The sequence below is a fragment of the Homo sapiens genome, chromosome 12, assembly GCF_000001405.40.
Source record: "Homo sapiens chromosome 12, GRCh38.p14 Primary Assembly".
NCBI lineage: Eukaryota > Metazoa > Chordata > Mammalia > Primates > Hominidae > Homo > Homo sapiens.
In genome coordinates this window covers 107,029,865-107,048,796 of record NC_000012.12, presented here as the reverse complement: position 1 = coordinate 107,048,796, position 18,932 = coordinate 107,029,865, and the positions used below count along the sequence as shown (strand labels likewise).

General features: G+C 39.0%; 1 protein-coding gene across 17 annotated transcripts in view; it reads left to right on the top strand.

Annotated features, from left to right (window-relative positions):
- CRY1 (cryptochrome circadian regulator 1) overlaps positions 1-18,932 on the top strand; it is a 102,186-nt gene that overhangs the window by 44,753 nt on the left and 38,501 nt on the right. The window contains exon 2 of one of the 17 annotated variants that reach the window (NM_001413469.1): positions 5,619-5,880. The exons of the other annotated variants lie outside the window; for them this stretch is intronic. The gene's annotated coding sequence lies outside the window, so the exon portion shown is untranslated. The remainder of the gene's footprint in view (positions 1-5,618; positions 5,881-18,932) is intronic. 17 annotated transcript variants of the gene reach the window in all.

The window sequence follows — 18,932 nt, the reverse complement described above, 5'->3', positions numbered from 1 at the left end:
TAGGGAATTTTGACAGAGAGCTTTAAATACTCAAATGAAAATATTAGAAATGAAAAATACGATAGCTGAAGTTAACAAGTCAGTGGATAGGTTTATCAGAAGATTAGATATAGCTGAGGAGAGAATTGATAAACTGATAGTTCAGAAGAAATAGCCAGATTCAAACACAAAATAATAGGATGGAAAATACAGAAAATAGCATGAGAGACATACGGTATTTGGTAAAGGAATCTGAAATGTTTGTATTGAAATCCCAAAAGGAGAGGACAGATAAACAGAATCTGCAGATCAAATATGAAGGAAATCTAGAGGGGTTTTGCCAGGCAAAAGGAAAATGATTCTATATAGAAATACAGAGATACAGAAAGATATAAAGAGCAATAGAAACCATAAGTATGTGGATAAATCTGAATGAATGGCTGGGCACAGTAGCGCACGCCTGTAATCCCAGCACTTTGGGAGGCCGAGGTGGGTGGATCATGAGGTCCAGAGTTCGAGACCAGCCTGGCCAACGTAGTGAAACCCTGTCTCTACTAAAAATACAAAAAGTTAGCCAGGTGTGGTGGCAGGTGCCTGTAATCCCAGCTACTCAGAAGTCTGAGGCAGGAGAATTGCTTGAACCCAGGGGGCGGAGGTTGCAGTAAATGGAGATAATGCCATTGCACTCCAGCCTGGGCGACAGAGCAAGAGTCCATCTCAAAAAAAAAAATCTGAATGGATACTAGCATTCAAAAAATAATATAATTGCTTTGAACAGTTATTTTATAATAGTACTTGTTTTCTATATTAGTCTACCTATTGGTTTGTCAATTTTGTCTTTAAAAATTTTCATTTTGTTGATCTTTTGTAATTTTTTTTAGTCTCAATTTTGTTTATTTTGCACCAACCTTGATTGGTTTTTTTCTCTATGAATTTTGGGTTTGCTTTGTTTTTGCTTGTCTGGTTCCTTGTAATGCATTGTTAGATTGTTTATTTGAAATCTTCCTACTTTTCTGACATAGGTGTTTGTATTAGTCTGTTCTTATACCGCTGTGAAGAAATACCTGAGACTGGGTAATTTATAAAGAAAAGAGGTTTAATTGACTCACAGTTCTGCAGGGCTGGGGAGGCCTTAAGAAACCTTACAATCATGGCAGAAGGGGAAGCAAACTCATCCTTCTTCACGTGGCAGCAGGAAGGAAAATGAGTGCCAAGCAAAGGGGGAAGCTTCTTATAAAATCATCAGATCTTGTGAGAACAAATTCACTATAAGGAGAACAGCATGGTGGGAACTGCCTCCATGATTCAATTACCTTCCACCTAGTTCCTCCCATGACACTTTGGGATTATGGGAACTACAATTCAAGATGAGATTTGGGTGTGGACACAGAGCCAAACCATATCAGTGTTTATTGCTATAAGCTTCTTAATACTGTTTTTGTTGTAGTCCATAGGTTTTGGTATGTTGGTTTTTAATTTTCATTTGTTTCAAATGAAATGATTTAAATGTTTAAATCTTTTTCTTAATTTCTTCATTGATCCACTGGTCATTCAGAAGTGGGTTCTTTGATTTCCCTATATTTGTATAACTTCAAAAGTTCTTGTAGTGATTTATAATTTTATTCCATTGTGGTCAGAAAAGATACTTGATATGATTTCAGTTATCTTAAATTTGTTGTGTCTTGTTTTGTGACCTAACGTGTGGTCTGTCCACAAGAACGTTTCATATGCCAATGAAAAGAATGTGTATTCTACAACTGTGGAACGAAGTGTTCTAAATGTCTGTTGGGTCCATTTGGTCTTGAGTGCAGTTTAAGTCCAGTGTTTCTTTGTTGATTTTCTTCTGCCTAGATGATCTTCTCAATGCTGAGAGTTGGATGATTAAGTCCCTATTATTGTAATGGAATCTATCCTTTTAGATTGAATAATATTTGCTTTATATCTGGGTGCTCCAGTGTTGGATACATTATATTAACAGTTGTTATATCCTCTTGTTGAATTGATCCTTTTATCATTATATTATGAGCTTTTGTTTCTTTTTAGTTTTTGACTTAAATTCTGCTTTGTCTAGTGTAAATATTGCTATTCCTTTTTGCTTTTGGTTTTTGTTTGTGTGGAATATCTTTATTCATCCCTTCACTTTCATTCTGTATGTTTCTTACAGGTGAATTAAGTTTCTTGTTGGCAGAATACAATTGGATCATTTTGTTTTTAAAATCCATTTGGCTACTCTGTAGCTTTTTAGTGGGGAATTTAATCAATTTATTATTCAAGGTTATTACTGATTGGTGAGGTCTTATTCCTGTCACTTTGTTAGTTGTTTTGTGTATTCTTTGTTTCTTTCTTTCTCTCTTATTGTTTATCATTGTGGTTTGGTGGTTTTCTGTAGTTGTAAGTTTTTATTCTTTTTCTAATTTGTGTTATCTGTTCTACCAGTGAGTTTTATACTTGTGCATATTTACGTGATAGTGATTATTGTCTTTGTGTTTTTAGATGTAGGATGCCTTTGAGCATTTTTTTTTTTTGAGGCAAAGTCTCACTCTGTCACCCAGCCTGGAGTGCAGTCACATGATCTTGGCTCACTGGAACCTCCACTTCCTGGGTTCAAGTGATTCTTGTGCCTCAGCCTCCCGAGTAGCTGGGATGACAGGTGTGTGCCACCATGCCCAACTAATTTTTTTTTTTTTTTTTTAAGACAGAGTCTTGCTCTGTCGCCAGGCTGGAGTGCAGTGGTGCAATCTCGGCTCACTGCAACCTCCGCCTCCTAGGTTCAAGCAATTCTCCTGCCCCAGCCTCCTGAATAGCTGGGACTACAGGTGCTGGCCACCACACCTAGCTAATTTTTGTATTTTTTTGTAATTATACTTTAAGTTCTAGGGTACATGTGGACAACATGCAGGTTTGTTACATATGTATACATGTGCCATGTTGGTGTGCTGCACCCATTAACTTATCATTTACATTAGGTATATCTCCTAATGCTATCCCTCCCCCGCTCCCCGCACCCCACAACAGGCCCCGGTGTGTGATGTCCCCCTTCCTGTGTCCAAGTGTTCTCATTGTTCAGTTCCCCCACTATGAGTGAGCTGGGACAACTGGCTAGCCATAGGTAGAAGGCTGAAACTGGATCCCTTCCTTACACCTTATACAAAAATTAATTCAAGATGGATTAAAGACTTAAATGTTAGACCTAAAACCATAAAAACCCTAGAAGAAAACCTAGGCAATACCATTCGGGACATAGGCATGGGCAAGGACTTCATGTATAAAATACCAAAAGCAATGGCAACAGAAGCCAAAACTGACAAATTTTTGTATTTTTAGTAGAGACAGGGTTTCGCCACGTTGGCCATGCTTGTCTCTATCTCTTGACCTCATGATCCACCCACTTCAGCCTCCCAAAGTGCTGGGATTACGAGCATGAGCCACTGCACCCGGCTGCCCTTGAGAATTTCTTGTAAGCCTTATCTAGTGGTGATAAATTTCCTCAGTTTTGCTTGTCTGGGAAAGATTTTATTTCTCCCTTGTTTCTGAAGGATATCTTTGCTGAGTATGGTATTTTTGGTGGCATTTTTTTTTTCTCTTAGCACTTTGAATAGATCATCCCATTTTCTCCTGGCCTGTGAGCTTTCTTCAGAGAAATCTGCTATTAGTCTAATGGAGATTTCCTTTTATATGACTTGACACTTTTCTCTTGCTGTTTTTAGAATTCTCTCTTTGTCTTTAACTTTTGACAATTTGACTGTAATGTGCCGTGAGGAATGATTTGGATTGAATCTATTTGGGGACCTTTGAGCTTCCTGGATCTGAATGTGCATATTTCTCCCCAGACTTGAGAAGTTTTCTGCTATGATTTCATTAAATAGGTTTTTCTACACCTTTTCCCTTCTTCTTCTGAAACTCCCATAATAGAAAGTTTTGTTTGCTTAATGTTGTCTCATAAGTCTTGTAGGCTTTCTTCGTTCTTTTTCATTCTTATTTCCTTTTCTTTCTCCAATGACAAATTTCAAATAACTTACCTTCATATTCAGAGATTCTTTCTTTTTGATCAAAGTGTGCTGCTGAAGCTCTCTAATGTATTTCTTTAAATTTCATTTATTGAATTCTTCAGCTACAGCGTTTTTGTTTGGTTCTTTTTATTTATATCTCTTTGTTGAATTTCTTGTTTATATTGTGAATTGTTTTCCTGATTTCATTGAATAGTCTGTCTGTATTGGTCCCTGCATTGATGTCTGTGCATCTGGTAGAACAGTTGTCTCTTCCAAACTTCCTAAAATATCTTTCATAGAGACAGACTTTCACCTGTTATTGGGTTTTAGTGTGCCATTTGGAAAGGGTATGGTGACTCTCTTTCCAGATAGGTGCAGTGGTATAGTCTCCATGCAGCTGCTCCAGCTGCATTGAACATCAGCAATAACTGTGGGCACCTCAGTAGCCTAGGCTGTAGAACTTTGTGGCGGCAGCAGCTGCAGCAGCATAGATTGTTAATGTTCTTGGTGTCATAGGCTTTTTGGGATTCTTCTATTCTCATTTTCCCCACAATTAGGAGACTTAGCCAAGGGGATTCCTCTTATTGTCAGGTCTGACACAACCTACAAGCAGCTGCAGCAGCTCTGGGTTCCAGGTGCAGATGTCCAGAGCAGCTGTGGGGCAGATGGAGGTCCTAATCTCAGGGTCTCATGACCCTGTTTTGGCAACTGGGTCTTGGAGTACAGGTTCGCTTTCTGTGGCAGGGTTGGATACCGGTTGTCCATAGAACCAAAATCTGTGACTCAGGTACCATCTAGCAGCCTGGTCTCAGGAAGCTGAGTTGTAGCTATGATTCTACCCCTGAAGGAGGCAGAACACAGCTCTGGCCTGACTCCATGGAGTAAGGGGTACTTTGGAGGTTTGAGCCTGGGGAGCAAAATTCAGCTGCAGTTTAGGAATCTGAGCCAATAGGGCTCAGTGGCAATTTGGGTTCTAGAGGATGAGCAACTGTGTAGTAATAACTCTAGACCGTGGTATAGTGGGGCTCAGCAGTATCCTCCCTCTGGGAGGCCAGATGTAGTGGCAGCAAATACCCAGAATGGCAGAGCACAGCTGTCATTGGACCCTGCGAGGAACAGGGAACAGCACAGTTCTGACCCCACCATCAAGGGAGATGGGTATCTCAGCAACTCACACTCTAGGTAGCTAGTCCAGCTCCACAGAAGCAGGATACTAGAGCTGTTTGGCCTGTAGAGCAGAGTATCTCAGCTTAGCCACTGCTTTTTTGCCCTGGGATGCAGGGTACTACATCAGCTCAGCTCTGAGATGTGCAGCTGCTCGGCTCAGCCAAGGCACCTATTCCCAGAGGGTGATAATGCTGCTTCAGCTCAAGCTTGGTAGAGTGTGATTATTCTGGGAAGACCAGGAACCATTTCCCTGGGATGTAGGGCTCCACTTCAGCTTAGGTACTGTAATGCATGATCATTCTTCTGGGTGGCCAAGTCACCATTTCCTGGGATGCAGGGCACTGCTTCATCTTAGACTTCAGGGAGACATGACTGCTCAGAGTGGCCAAGGTACTGTTTTTGCAAGAGGCAAGATACTACTTCAGCTCAAGCACAAGGGTGGAGGGGTAAGTAAAGTGGCTCTGTCTCTGCTTGGCCCCACAGGAAAGGAAGCTTGGCTTGGGGATGTTGGACCACTTGGCTGGGGCGGTGGTTCAGTTGCATCTTAGTCTCAGAGATGAAGGAGAGTCACGGCTACTCACCGCCAGAGCAAGACACCCTCCAGCCATAGTTCCAATTCTACGATGGCATAGCGTAGTAGCCCTGTAGCTGCAGGGTGTGGAGCCTAGTGTTTGCTTTTTCTCTACGGTGAGCACAGTTACGTGGACTCCAGGTAATTCCGTCAGCTGGACTTTGTACCTGTGAGGTAAGATCTCTACATGTTCAAGGTGTTGATGGAGGTTGCTGGGATCCTCTTGCTTATCTCCTCACCATGAGAAGTTCCTCCTGGCTTTCAGCTGATCCCATTTGGAGGATGAGGTGGTGGAGGCCCGGCATTTCCTTCCATTCTCCGTGTGGCCATCCTAAGTTTCTGTACTCACCAGGGTTTCTGTTCCTGTGATATACCCCAGTGTTCTCCCTTAGCTATTTTCTTCAAAATACATTTGTTTATTTGTTGTTCTGTCTGTCTTTGTGATGGCGATGAGTGCTAGGGGCTTCCAGTTGGCCATCTTACTCAGATACAGTATATCATTACCTGGCGAAGTATTTTGTAGACTGCTCCTCAATTTGATTTTATCTGATATTTTCTCATAGTTAGATTAAGGTTATGCATTTTGGGGGAAAAATGCCACAGAAGTGATGTGCCTTTTTTTTATATCAGGGGATATGTGGTATCGGTATGTCTTGTTACAAATGATACTAACCTTGATCATGTGTTTCAGTTAATGTCTGCCAGGTTTCTCAGCTGTAAAATTACTATTTTTCTTCTGTAATTAATATTTTGGGAGAGATACTTTCAGACTTTGTAAATATTCTGTCTCCTTAAACATTCAACCATGAATTTTAGTATTCAACAGTAGATCTTGCCTGAATTATGTGCTATTCTAATGATGATTTTTCTATTCCCTTCATTCATCCTATATTTATTAGTTGGAATTCTTCTGTAATGAAGAGTTGTTCCTTCTCCCTCATTGATTTAATTATTCAGTCATTCATTTATAAAAGTACAGACTCATGAGTATATTTTTTTTACTCTTTGGGTCATAATGTACTGCTATTACTGTTTATTTCATTTAAATTGTTCCAGTGTTGGCACCCATCCTGTTGTTTAACATACACCAATCCTATTTGTCTTGAGCACTTTTTTCTGACACTATGAAATGCTCCAGTTCATCTTCTGTTTTCCTTTCCGCAGCCCCGGAATCAGCAACTGCTCTGTTGAGTCTTGGTTATTCTTATTGGGGGACGATATTTAAAAACCAAAATCTGGGTGCTGTATTCAACTTTTACAGCTTTATTTTTCTTTTCCTGGCACTCTTCCCCACCCCCACCCCATAGTCCTACCACTATGAAAGCATCTGAAAAACTTGAATTCATCTAGCGTAAAAATAGGAATATCAGAAAACCAGCATATATAGCTCCTCCATTTGCTTTTGTAAACATGTTGAACATACTTCATTTAGTTCCATATTAATCCTGTAAAGCCTAGAAGTATATTTTATACATGATTTTTGGCCTGTAGTGTTATGTTGCAGCAGCTTCTAAAAATACACATGGAATAGTAAAAGTCCTATATTTCAAATACTGTTATGTGATTTAGAGATTAGGAAGGCATAAATTACATAGCCTTATGCTAGTGTTAAGTCAACCTCAGAAGTTAAAAAATACTTCAAGTAAAGATCAACTTAAGCTGCTGTCACAAAGTGCCATGATAGATATAAAAAGACCCAGATTAGTTACCATCTTTCTGTTATAAAACCTTAGAGATCTTCCCTAGTATAATTGCTTTCCTTTTTTATGTGCTTTAACATTGGGGACATCAATGATACAATGCATTCATTAATATAACAATAAATTTGTGTATTTTAATCTCATTAAATGGTGGAGATTCTAAGGAGTAGAATTTTTTTTTTTTGTATCCTGAGTAAACGCCCAAATGTTGGCTGTATAAATGAAAGAATGTACCTCAATAGGCGGTTCTACATGTTATCTAATTAATTCTTAGCTTCACCTCTCATATTTCTCTCTGTAAGTGTAGAACAGGTTCTGTCATTTAGTTGTATAGCATCCATAGGGCAGATGCAGTGGCTCATGCCTGTAATCACAGCACTTGGGAGGTTGAGGCAGGAAGATCACTTGAGACTGAGAGTTCAAGACCAGCCTGGGCAGCATAGCAAGATCCCATCTCTTTTTTTTTTTTTTAAAGGTTTATATAGCATCCATAAAGTCAAGAGATATGTCTCACTTACAAAGATGAAATCAAGTGTATATGCAATATATTTGAGATTCATGGAAGGTTCATAACTCACTTATTAGTAATTGACCTTTTTTGTTACAGAATATCACGTCAGATTTAGGATTCTAAAATTTTGGTTTGATTGTTCCTATCTACTCTTCCCTCTTCTTTTTTTTAAAAATATATTTTATTGCTGTAGGAATAATTGAGATCTACCCTGTTGAAAGATTTTTAAGTGTAAAATACATTATTAACTATAGTCACAAAGTTCTACAACAGATTTTTAGGAAGTTTTCATCTTTTGGCTGGGCACATGGCTCACACCTGTAATCTCAGCACTTTGGGAGGCCGATGTGGGTGGATCATGAGGTCAGGAGTTTGAAACCAGCCTGGCCAATATGGTGAAACTCCATCTCTACTAAATATACAAAAATTAGCCAGGTGTGGTGGTGCACACCTGTAGTCCCAGCTACTCGGGAGGCTGGGGCAGAAAAATCACTTGAACCAGGAGGCAGAGGTTGCAGTGAGCCGAGATTGTGCCACTGCACCTCCAGCCTGGGTGACAGAGCGAGACTCCGTCTCAAAAAAAAAAAAAAAACTAAAAAAAAAAAAAAGGAAAGAAAGTATTCATCTCTCATAACTGACACTGTATACCTGTCGATTAGCAACTTCCTGTTTCCCCTTTCCTGTAGCACCAGATAGCCACCATTCTATGTATTCTCTGCTTCTATGAGTTTGACCAGTTTATATACCTCATATAAATGGAATCATGCAGTATTTGTCCTTTTTTCACTGGCTTATTTTACTTAGCATAATGTCCTCAAGGTTCATCCATGTTGTCACATATTGAAGGATTGCTTCTTTTTAATAGCCAAATAATATTCCATTGTGTGTGTATTTTATATTTGTGTGTATGTATGCATATACGTGTGTGTATATGTATGTATGTATAATATTTTCTTAATCCATTCTTTTGGATTCATTCCATCTTGTGGCTATTTTGAATAGTGCTGCAGTGAACTTGGGAGTGCTAATATTGCTTTGGAATCCTTAGTTTAGTTCTTTTGGATAAAAACCTTGAGTTGAGTGGCCAAATCATATGGTAGTTCTATTCAAAAATTTTTTAGGAACCTCTATGCTTTTTTCTACACTGATCACACCATTTTGCAGCGCCACCAACATTACATTAGGGTTCCAGTTTCTCCATATCCTTGCCAACACATTGCCTTTTATTTTTTTGACAATAGCTAATAGGTATAAGGTGATATCTCATTGTGGTTTTGATTTGCATTTCTCTAATGATTTGTGATGTGAACATCATTTCATATACCTGTTGGCCATTTGTTTGTTTCCTTTAGAAAAATGCCTGTTCAAATGCATAGCCCATTTTTTAACGGGTTGTTTTCTGTTATTGAGTTGCAGGAGTTCCTTACATATTTTGGAAATTTACTCCTTATCAGATAAATGGTTTGCAAATATTTTCTTCCATTCTATAGGTGAGCTTTTCTCTCTGTTGATAGTTTCCTTTGCTGTGCAGAAGGTTTTAGTTTGATGTCATCTATTTTTGCTTTTGTTGCCAGTTCCTTTGGAGTCATATTGATGAAAGCATTGCCAAGACCCAATGTCACAAAGCTTTTTCCTCTGTTTTCTTGTAGGAGTGTTACAGTTTCAGACCTTACATTTAAGTCTTAATCCATGTTGAGCTGATTCTTGTGTATAGTGTAAGATGAAGGCCTTATTTTATTTATTTTATTTTTTTTGAGGTGGAGTTTTGCTGTTGTTGCCCAGGCTGGAGTACAATGGCACGATCCCGGCTCACTGCAACTTCCGCCTTCCAGGTTCAAGTGATTCTTCTGCCTCAGCCTTCCCGAGTAGCTGGGATTACAGGCATGCACCACCACGCCCAGCACTCTGTGTTGAATGATACAGATGCTAGTCTCTTGGGCAGCAGCTGGGAGGGATGGAACATTGGATGTATCTTCCTCAGGGAAAACCTAGGAGCTGAGAGTTTTGTCTCAATCATATGGCTCTGTGCCAAGAGTGGAGATTTTGATGAGAGGGTGTCTCCTGCTAGTTTCAGTGTGGCTAGTTTCACATTCTCCCAATGTGCAGGAGCTTCTCAACTAGTTTGTTTCTCACAAAGGGAATTGATCTGTGTATTGCTGTTGAATCAGTGTGTCTGTGGATGAAAGGAAAGTCCAGGACTTCCTATTCTATCATTTCACTGACATCGTTCTTATTTCCTTCTTTTTGACCCTCTTACGATTTTCCATCTGTCTTTATCCATTCTTGCTTTTATATTCCGTTAGTCTTCGTTTTGCTGTCCCACATGCCCTTGCTTCTGTCTTCTATCTTTGCTTCTCTGTCCCATTTAGCTGTTTTTCCTTCCTCCATTTCTTTTATAAGTCAATCCATCCATCTTTCCTTCTGAGAATACATACATCTATCCTTTGCCACTGCTTCTGTAGACTTTATTCCATCTTTCCTCTTTTCTGCTCTCTCTTCAGCCTTCTCTATCATTCCTTCTGTTTATTCAAAGTGAAGCTGCTTCTTTCTGTCAGCCATTCTTTTCCTTCATCTAGTCTTAAGACTACTACAAATGTGCTGATGATTTCCAGTTTTATATCTCAAATTCAGCCTTCTACCATGAACTCCAGACTTAGTCATCTCATTTCCTTTGCTGTATTAGCTCTTGAATTTCTATTCAGATCCCCACTCTTTTACCATTTTCACCATTACCAGTTTTATCCATGTCATCATCATCTCTCTTGTAAAGAAGTAGTAACCTCTAAGTGATTTTCCTGTGCCTGCCCTTTCTTTGCCTGGTACTTATTTTCTACTCAGCAGCCCAAGTGATCCTTTTAAAGGCAAATTCAGGGCCAGCTGTGGTGGCTCACACCTGTAATCCTAATGCTTTGGGAGGCCAAAGCAGAAGGATTGCTTGAGATTGGGAGTTCGAATCCAGCCTTGGCAACATAGTGAGACCCCATAGCTACAAAAAATTAAAAAGTTAGCCAGGTGTGCTGGTATGTGCCTGTAGTCCCAGCTACTTGGGAGGCTGAGGTGGGAGGATCGTTTAAGCCTAGGAATTTGAGGCTGCAGTGAGCTATGATCATGCCACTGCACTTCAGCCTGGGCAACAGAGTGAGACTCTTTCTCTAAAATAAATAAATAAATAAATAAATAAAATAATTTCTAAAAAACAAATTTATATTATGTTCCAACCTCTGCTCAAAAGCTTTCAATGAGTTCCCAACTCACTCAGAGTAAAAACTTAAGTCTCTACCATGATTTACACGGACACATGTGATTGACTCCCAGTAGAACCTGAACATCATTTTCCTTTTTTTTTTGAAATTGAGTTTCACTCTTGCTGCCCACACTGGAGTGCAATGGTGTGATCTTGGCTCACTGCAACCTCCACCTCCCAGTTTCAAGTGATTCTCCTGCCTCTGCCTCCCGAGTAGTTGGGATTATAGGCGCGCACCACCACGCCTGGCTAATTTTTGTATTTTCAGTAAAGACAGGGTTTCACCATGTTGGCCAGGCTGGTCTCGAACTCCTGACCTCAGGTGATCCACCTGCCTTGGCCCCCAAAGTGCTGGGATTACCATTTTCTTATTATTCTTTCCCCTTACTATTTGATGTCCAAGCATATTGGCCTATTTTTTGTTCCTCAAACAGTCATGAGGTCCCATGTGTCTGGGCCTTTATTCCCTCTGTGATGTTCTGTTTTCTCTGTTATCTGTATAGGTCATTTACCCCCTTAGGTGTCTTTCTGCTCACATGTCATCTTCATTCATTGAAACTATATATATTTATTGAATGTAGTGAATAAAAGAGGCAAAAACCTTACTTTCATGGAATTTACATCTGAGTGGGGGTGAGATACAGGTCATTAACACATAAATAAATTATATAGTATGTTAAAGAGATAGCAAGGAAGGGGGCTCAGGAATGCTAGGGGCCAGAGGTGGGGAGAGGTCTATTTTAGATAAGATGGTCAGAGAGAGCCTCACTTCAGAGATGACCTTTGAGCAATGACCTAAAGAAAGAGAGGAATTGAACCCTGTGGATGTATGAGGGAAATGTATTCTGGATGGAAAGAACATCCTGTGCAAAGGTACTGAAGTAGGAGCATTTCTGGCATGCTCACAGGATCCCAAGGAGGACATGTGGCTGGAACAGAGTGAGTGAGAAGGAGAGTAGTAAGAAAGATGGAGTCATAGTGGTATTGGTTGCCCGGGTTCGTTCTGTAGGACCTAGAAAGCCATTTTAAGGACTTAAAAAAAAAAAAAAACCACCAACTTTAAATGGACTGGGAAGTCATTGCAGTTGGAGACTTTGTTCATAGAGATGACATGACCACTTGGCATCTGGGTGAAGACTGGACTGGATGGCAGTAAGGACAAGTATGGAAGCAGTGAGATCAGATAGAAGGCCAGTGGAATCATCTAGGTCAGAAATGATGAAGAATTGAACCTGAGCTGTAGAGGTAAAGGCAGTCAGAAGTAATCAGATTCTGGATGTATTTTGAACATAGAGCTGTTAAGATTTGCCATAGTTTTAGATGTGGACTATGAAAGAAAGAGAGGTCAAGGATGATGTGGTAGTGTTCACCAATATCCAATTCACCATTCGTACCTGGGCTATGCAACATTTCAATTCTCAGCTCTCTTTGCAGTCTGGCGAGGCCGTGTGACTCTTTCTGGCCAATGAATTGTGTGAGGAAGTACTTGGTGAAGGCAATGTAAAGCCCTGTATGTTTCCCAGTTCTTCCCCTACTGTGGAGGAGGCCTTGTGTTGAAATTATAGAACCACAAGGTCATAATAGCTGGGACGGTAAAGTCACCATTAGAAGATAACTAGCTGGAGCTGCAGTGAACTCAGCATGAGCAAGATGAAAACTTTTGTTTTGTCAAGCCACTGATTTGGGAGGTTGTTTGTTACTGCAGCATAACCCTGTTCTATTCTGACCAACCAGGTGAGTCTTTGCCCTGATTAACTTGAAGGATGGAATTAAATGAGATTGGAAGACTGTGGGAGGAGATGGTCTGAGGCAATCTTCAAAGGGAGATGTTTAATAAATGGAAGGATATGAATAAATCCTTCTATGACTGCTTTGCATAAAATTATACCCCCCGATATCCTTCTACTCTATTTTAGTTTTCTCCATAAAAATTATCAGCACTGAAATACTGTATGGTTCAAGGAGCTTGGAATTTGGAGCCAAGCTGACTGGGTTTGAAATCATGGCTTTGCCACTTTATTATTCAAGTGTCCTTGGGAAAATTACTTAACCAGTATATGTTTCAGTTTCCTCATTTGAAATGGAGGAAGTACCTATATCAAAGGGTTATTGAGTATAAACATTTAAAGTGCTTAGAGCAGTGTCTTATACACACTTTCTAAATGTTTGCAGCTGTAATCATCATTATCATCATAATTATCATCTAACATCCAAACCTCATGATAGCAGGCACTTAATTTTGTTCTCTGCTTTATTACCAGGGACCACAACAATGTCTGACACTTAATAGGCTCTCAATAAATTGTTAATAGATACATTACTGGATAGATTGCATAAGTGACTAAATTTTTGCAGTAATGTCAGTACGAGAAAAATCTTGACCATTGGCCAAACTTCAAACAGACCTGAATAGTTACATGTGCTAAGTCATAGATCAAAAAAAGTGGAATAATTTTTCAGCATTATTAATATCTTTTTGAAGGACAGAAATTTGAAATAGGGCTGTTAGACTACAGAAAAGCATTATTCATAGATCTGGGACAGCATGTTTTTGAACACGTTAGGCAGATGTTATTTTAGTTGTATGTAGATCCTTTAAATCCTAGAAGTATATCTTATACTTTATTTGGCCTAACCTGGTAGAGTCACAATGCAGTGATTTCTAAAGTTAGATAAGAACTAATACAATTTCTGGACTATAAATAGCTCTGTGTGATTTTTGAGATCAGAGAGGCATAAGTTACAAGGATTATATTAGTCTAATTGATGCCAGAAATTAAGTGATTTTAATCCTTTGAAACGCTTATTTATGTATTTATTTTTTTCTGTATCGATAGTACTTATTTGCCTATCATCTATAAATAATCATGGTTTTGCTTCTTCCTTTCCCATCCTTATGCCTTTTATTTCTTCCTCTTCCGTTACAGGTTGAGTATCCTTTGTCCATAAAGCCTGGGACCAGAAGTGTTTTAGATTTCAGATTCTTCCCCATATTTCTGAATATTGACATTACTAGTTGAGCAACCGAATTCATTGGAGCATTTCCTTTGAATGTCATGTTACCAGACATGGGCTTCTGATTCAGCCCTTAAGAGAGGGTTCTTGGAACTCACTTAAGAAAGAATTTGGAGCAAGTCCACAGAGTAAAATGAAAGCGAATTTATTAGACAAGTAGAGAAACAAAAAATGGCCAGTCCATAGACAGAGCAGCATCATGGGTTTCTTGACTGAGTATACTCAGTCAAGAGTATATGCTAAACAAGGGGTGGCTTATTCATGAGTTTTCCGGAAAAGTGGTGGGGAGTTGTCAGAAGTGAAGATTTCTCCTCTTTTTAGACCATATAGGGTAACATCTGGATGTTGTCTTGGCATTTGTAAACTGTCATGGCATTAGTGGGGGTGTCTTAACTTGCTAATGCATTATAATTAGTGTATAATGTGGAGTGAGGATGACCAGAGGTCACTTTCGTCTCCATCTTGGTTTGGTGGGTTTTGGCTACCTTCTTTACTGCATTCTGTTTTATCAGCAGGGTCTTTATGACCTGTATCTTGTGATACCAGTCCTGCCGACCTCCTGTCTCACCCTGTGACTAAGAACGCCTAACTTCCTGGAAGTACTGCTCAGCAGGTCTCAGCCTTATTTTACCAAGGCCCTATTTAAGATGGAGTCACTCTGGTTCAAATGCCTGTGACAGTGTCAGCACTCAAAATGTGTTGGATTTTGAAGCATTTCAGATTTGGGATGCTCAACCTGCACTACATTAGTTAGGCCTACTAGATTGCATAGAGAAGCGGTGGGAGTAGGCATCTTTGTCTTCTTTCCGATCTTAAAGGAAGTGCTTTCAACATTTCACTATTACATATGCTGTTTTCCCTAAGTATTTTTACGGGTACCCTTTTTCAGATTAGGGATGTTACCTACTAGTTCTAGTTTATTGAAGCTAAAGGGAATTGAGATTTTGTTGCTACTCTTTATACATCTCGTCAATTGGTTATATAGTTTTTCTTCTTTATTCTATGAATGAGGTGAATTACAGTAACCAATTTGTAAATATTAAATGATTTAACTTTCTGAGGATAAGCCCAACTTGATCATGATATATAATATGTTTTGTATATTGCAGGATTTGGTTTGCTGTGATAATATGCTCATGAGTGAAATTAGTTTATAATTTTCTTTTATACTGTCTTTGTCTGGTTTTGGTGTCAAGGTAAATCTAACCTTATAAAATAAGTTAAATATTCCTTTTCTGTCTATCCTTTTTATGAGATTGGAATCCTTTGTAAAAATAGAATTATCTATTCCTTAAATATTTTGTAGAATTCATCTGTAAAGCTAACTGACTCTTGTGTTTTTCTTGTAAGATTTTAAGCTATGGATTCAATTTATTTAGTGACTTAGAATTATTCCTGTTCTTTCTTTACTCTTGAGTCCATTTTGGTAAGTTTTAAGTTTCTTGAGTCAGTTTTAGCAAGGAATTTATTTCATCTAAGTTTTCAAATTTGTTTGCATAAAATTATTTATTTTCCGTTTAATCCCTGCAGTATCTAAGATTATGTCCCCACTTTTTAAAAAATTCTTAACATTTCTTACTCTTCCCTCTCCCATTTTTTTTCTTAATTATTCTTGTCGGACATTTATATTATTGTCTCTTCATATAATACATTTTGGCTTTGCTGTTTCTCACGAATTTGTGTTCTGTTTTCACTAATTTCTGTTCTTTATCATTTTCTTCTTTTTAGTTTTTAAGGATTTATTCTGCTGTTTTTCTTAATTTCAAGTCTTCAAGTATTTTCTAATTTCAAAACATATAAATGATACCAATTTAAAATTGATCTTGCTCTGTCATGCAGGCTAGAGTGCAGGGAAGTGATCACAGCTCACTGTAGCCTTGACTTCTTGGGCTTGAGCGATCCTCCCACCTTTGCTTCCCGAGTAGTTGAGATTACAGGTGCATGCCATCATGCCCAACTAATTTAATCAGGGTTTCTCCATGTTGCCCAGGCTGGTCTAGAACTCGTGGGCTCTGAGATTATAGGCGTGAGCCACCGTGCCTGGCCTGAAGTCTGAGTTTTAAAGTTGAGAATACAGAGAGGATTTGTGACGTGTGTGTGTGTGTGTGTGTCTGTAACAGTTATCTCAGAGCACACCAAGCCTGTGACCACTTTAAACGCATTGTCATGCTTGAGGTGTTTGGGACCACATAGTTTCCATGAATTTGCGTTGAGGTGATTCATTCTCGGAGGATTTTTTTAATAAAATTTTTTTGAATAATTTTAGATTTGTAGAAAATATGCAGAGATAATACACAGAGTTCCTGTATGCTCTGTATCCTGTTTCCTGTAATATTAACATTTCCATTTCCATGGTGCTTTTATTAAAACTAAGAAACCATAGTACTGGCCGGGCGTGGTGGCTCATGCCTGTAATCCCAGCACTTTGGGAGGCCGAGGCAGGTGGATCACCTGAGGTCAGGAGTTCCAGACCAGCCTGGCCAACGTGGCGAAACCCCGTCTCTACTAAAAATACAAAATTAGCCGGGCGTGGTGGCGCATGCCTGTAGTCCCAACTACTTGGGAAGCTGAGGCAGGAGAATCGCTTGAACCCGGGAGGTGGAGGTTGCAGTGAGCCAAGATCATGCCACTGCACTCTATCCTGGGCGACAAGAGCGAAACTCCCTCTCAAAAGAAAAAGAAAAGAAAAGAAAAAGAAACCATAGTACTAACTAAACTCCAGACTTTATTCAGATTTCCACTAAGTTTTTCTTTTCCACAATCCCATCTAGAATACCACACTGCATCTAGTCATACGTCTCCTTTGTCTCCTCTGTAACAGTTTCTTAGGCTTTCTCTATTTTTAATGACCTCTGTGGTTTTGAGTACTGGTCAAATGTTTTGTAGAACGGCCCTCAATTTGAGTTTCTCTGATTTTTTTTGATAATTAAACTAGGGTTATGGGGGTTTGGGGGACAATATCACAGAGGTGAAATGGTTTTCTCATCACATTAAGTCAGAGTGAACATAATATCAACATGATTGACCTATCACTGGTGTTGTTGACTCTGATTGTGTGGTTAAGGTAGTACTTGTCAGTATTCACTGCTGTAAAGTTACTATTTTTTCCTTTCCATTCAAGGAGAGATTTTATTTTCTTTCATCCCAAACTGGCTAGAGACAGATAAGTTTCTTTGTAGTCTTCATCTGTGACTTAAGATTTGTATCTTTCAGAGCAGTCTGGGTATAATAAGCAAAAAAAAAAAAAAAAGATTTATGTCTTATTTACTAAAGCTTTTGGAAGCCCAGGCTTTATATTGAATCTATTATTAGCTTCCTTACTTTGGGTGGGTCTTGGGCTTTATCTCCTGTCCTCTTCAACCCAGATGAAGCTCAGAGTTCTCAGGGCTCTGCAGAAATCCCCAGGGCTAAAGCTGACTTTAGCTCCCTGTGACCTGTTATGCCTTCTTGCTTTTTGGACAACCCGGTGAATTATTTTAAGAACTTTTCTGTTGTTGTTGTTGTTTCTCAGTTTGTTAGTTATTTCTGTTAGGGTATCTTAATCCGGTGTACTGTCAACAACAGAAGTTGATAACAGGTTTGTTTTGACATTGATTTGAATATATTTTGAAATGTTAAAGCTTGTGTTGGGGAGAATATACAACTTAGTATAGAAAGCATAATACTTACAGTCCCCAGGTACCCCCAACCCCCAGCTCTTCTGAGTTTCTGTGATTTAAGCATACATACTATTTTTTCTGCTTTGGTTGCCCATTTCTGCTTTATCACCTTAAGCAACACCTATTAATTCTAAACTCTACTCAAATCTTTTCTTCCTTGTGCCTTCCCCTGCCCCCTTCCCCACCCCCACACAGTTAGGTTTCTTCTGGGCTACCATAATACACTTTTCATAATAAAATTTACCACATGGCACATAATATCAGTGCTTAGATATTGTGGTAGATATCATTACTGTACACTGTTATTTAGTGTCCCTTCCTGCAAGAAGATTATGCTTTCCTGCCTTTTTGAAGACTAACTTGGCCATGTGACCTGTTTTGACTGATTTGTTACCATGGTATATCCTAAATTCTTCTTAATTGATACACACGCCTATTCCTCAGCTTGAGGACAAAAACTGTATACTAGTCATTGTTATGTTCTTAAAGCTGTCAAATTAATTTTCCTAAAACATCTTAGATTATTACATATTCTGTAGAAAAGTCACATTATGTAGTACAAAGAGCACTATGGTTTGGAGTCAGAGACATCCAGATTAAATTTTCTGCTTCATTGTTTACCTGGGTATGGAAATGTCCTTGGTGAGTTTCAGATTCCATCATTTTTAAAATGAGATACCTTGTAAAATTGTTGGGAATATAATATATGTAAAGTATCCAGCACAATAGACATTCAGAGAATATTCTTTCCCATTCTTGTTCCTTCTTCATTGACTGTTGAATCAAGCCTTTAAAATCCCTTTCTTCTGCTTTCATTAATTTATTTAGTCATTAGATAGATATTTATTGAACTCCTGCTATATGTCAGGAATTGGACAGTGGGAAGTGGTGAACAAGGCCTAGTTGCAGGCTACAGTCCAGTGGCCAATAATTCTCCTTCCTTATCTCCAGCTATTGTATTGATACTTCAGGGTCACTACCTACCATCACCACCACATCCTTGAAATTTTTGCCTAAGCCGCTCCCCATATCAAAACAAGGAAAGAAAAATCCAGAAATGATTTCTCCCACCTGATTTTTCAGAGCATATTAGTGAT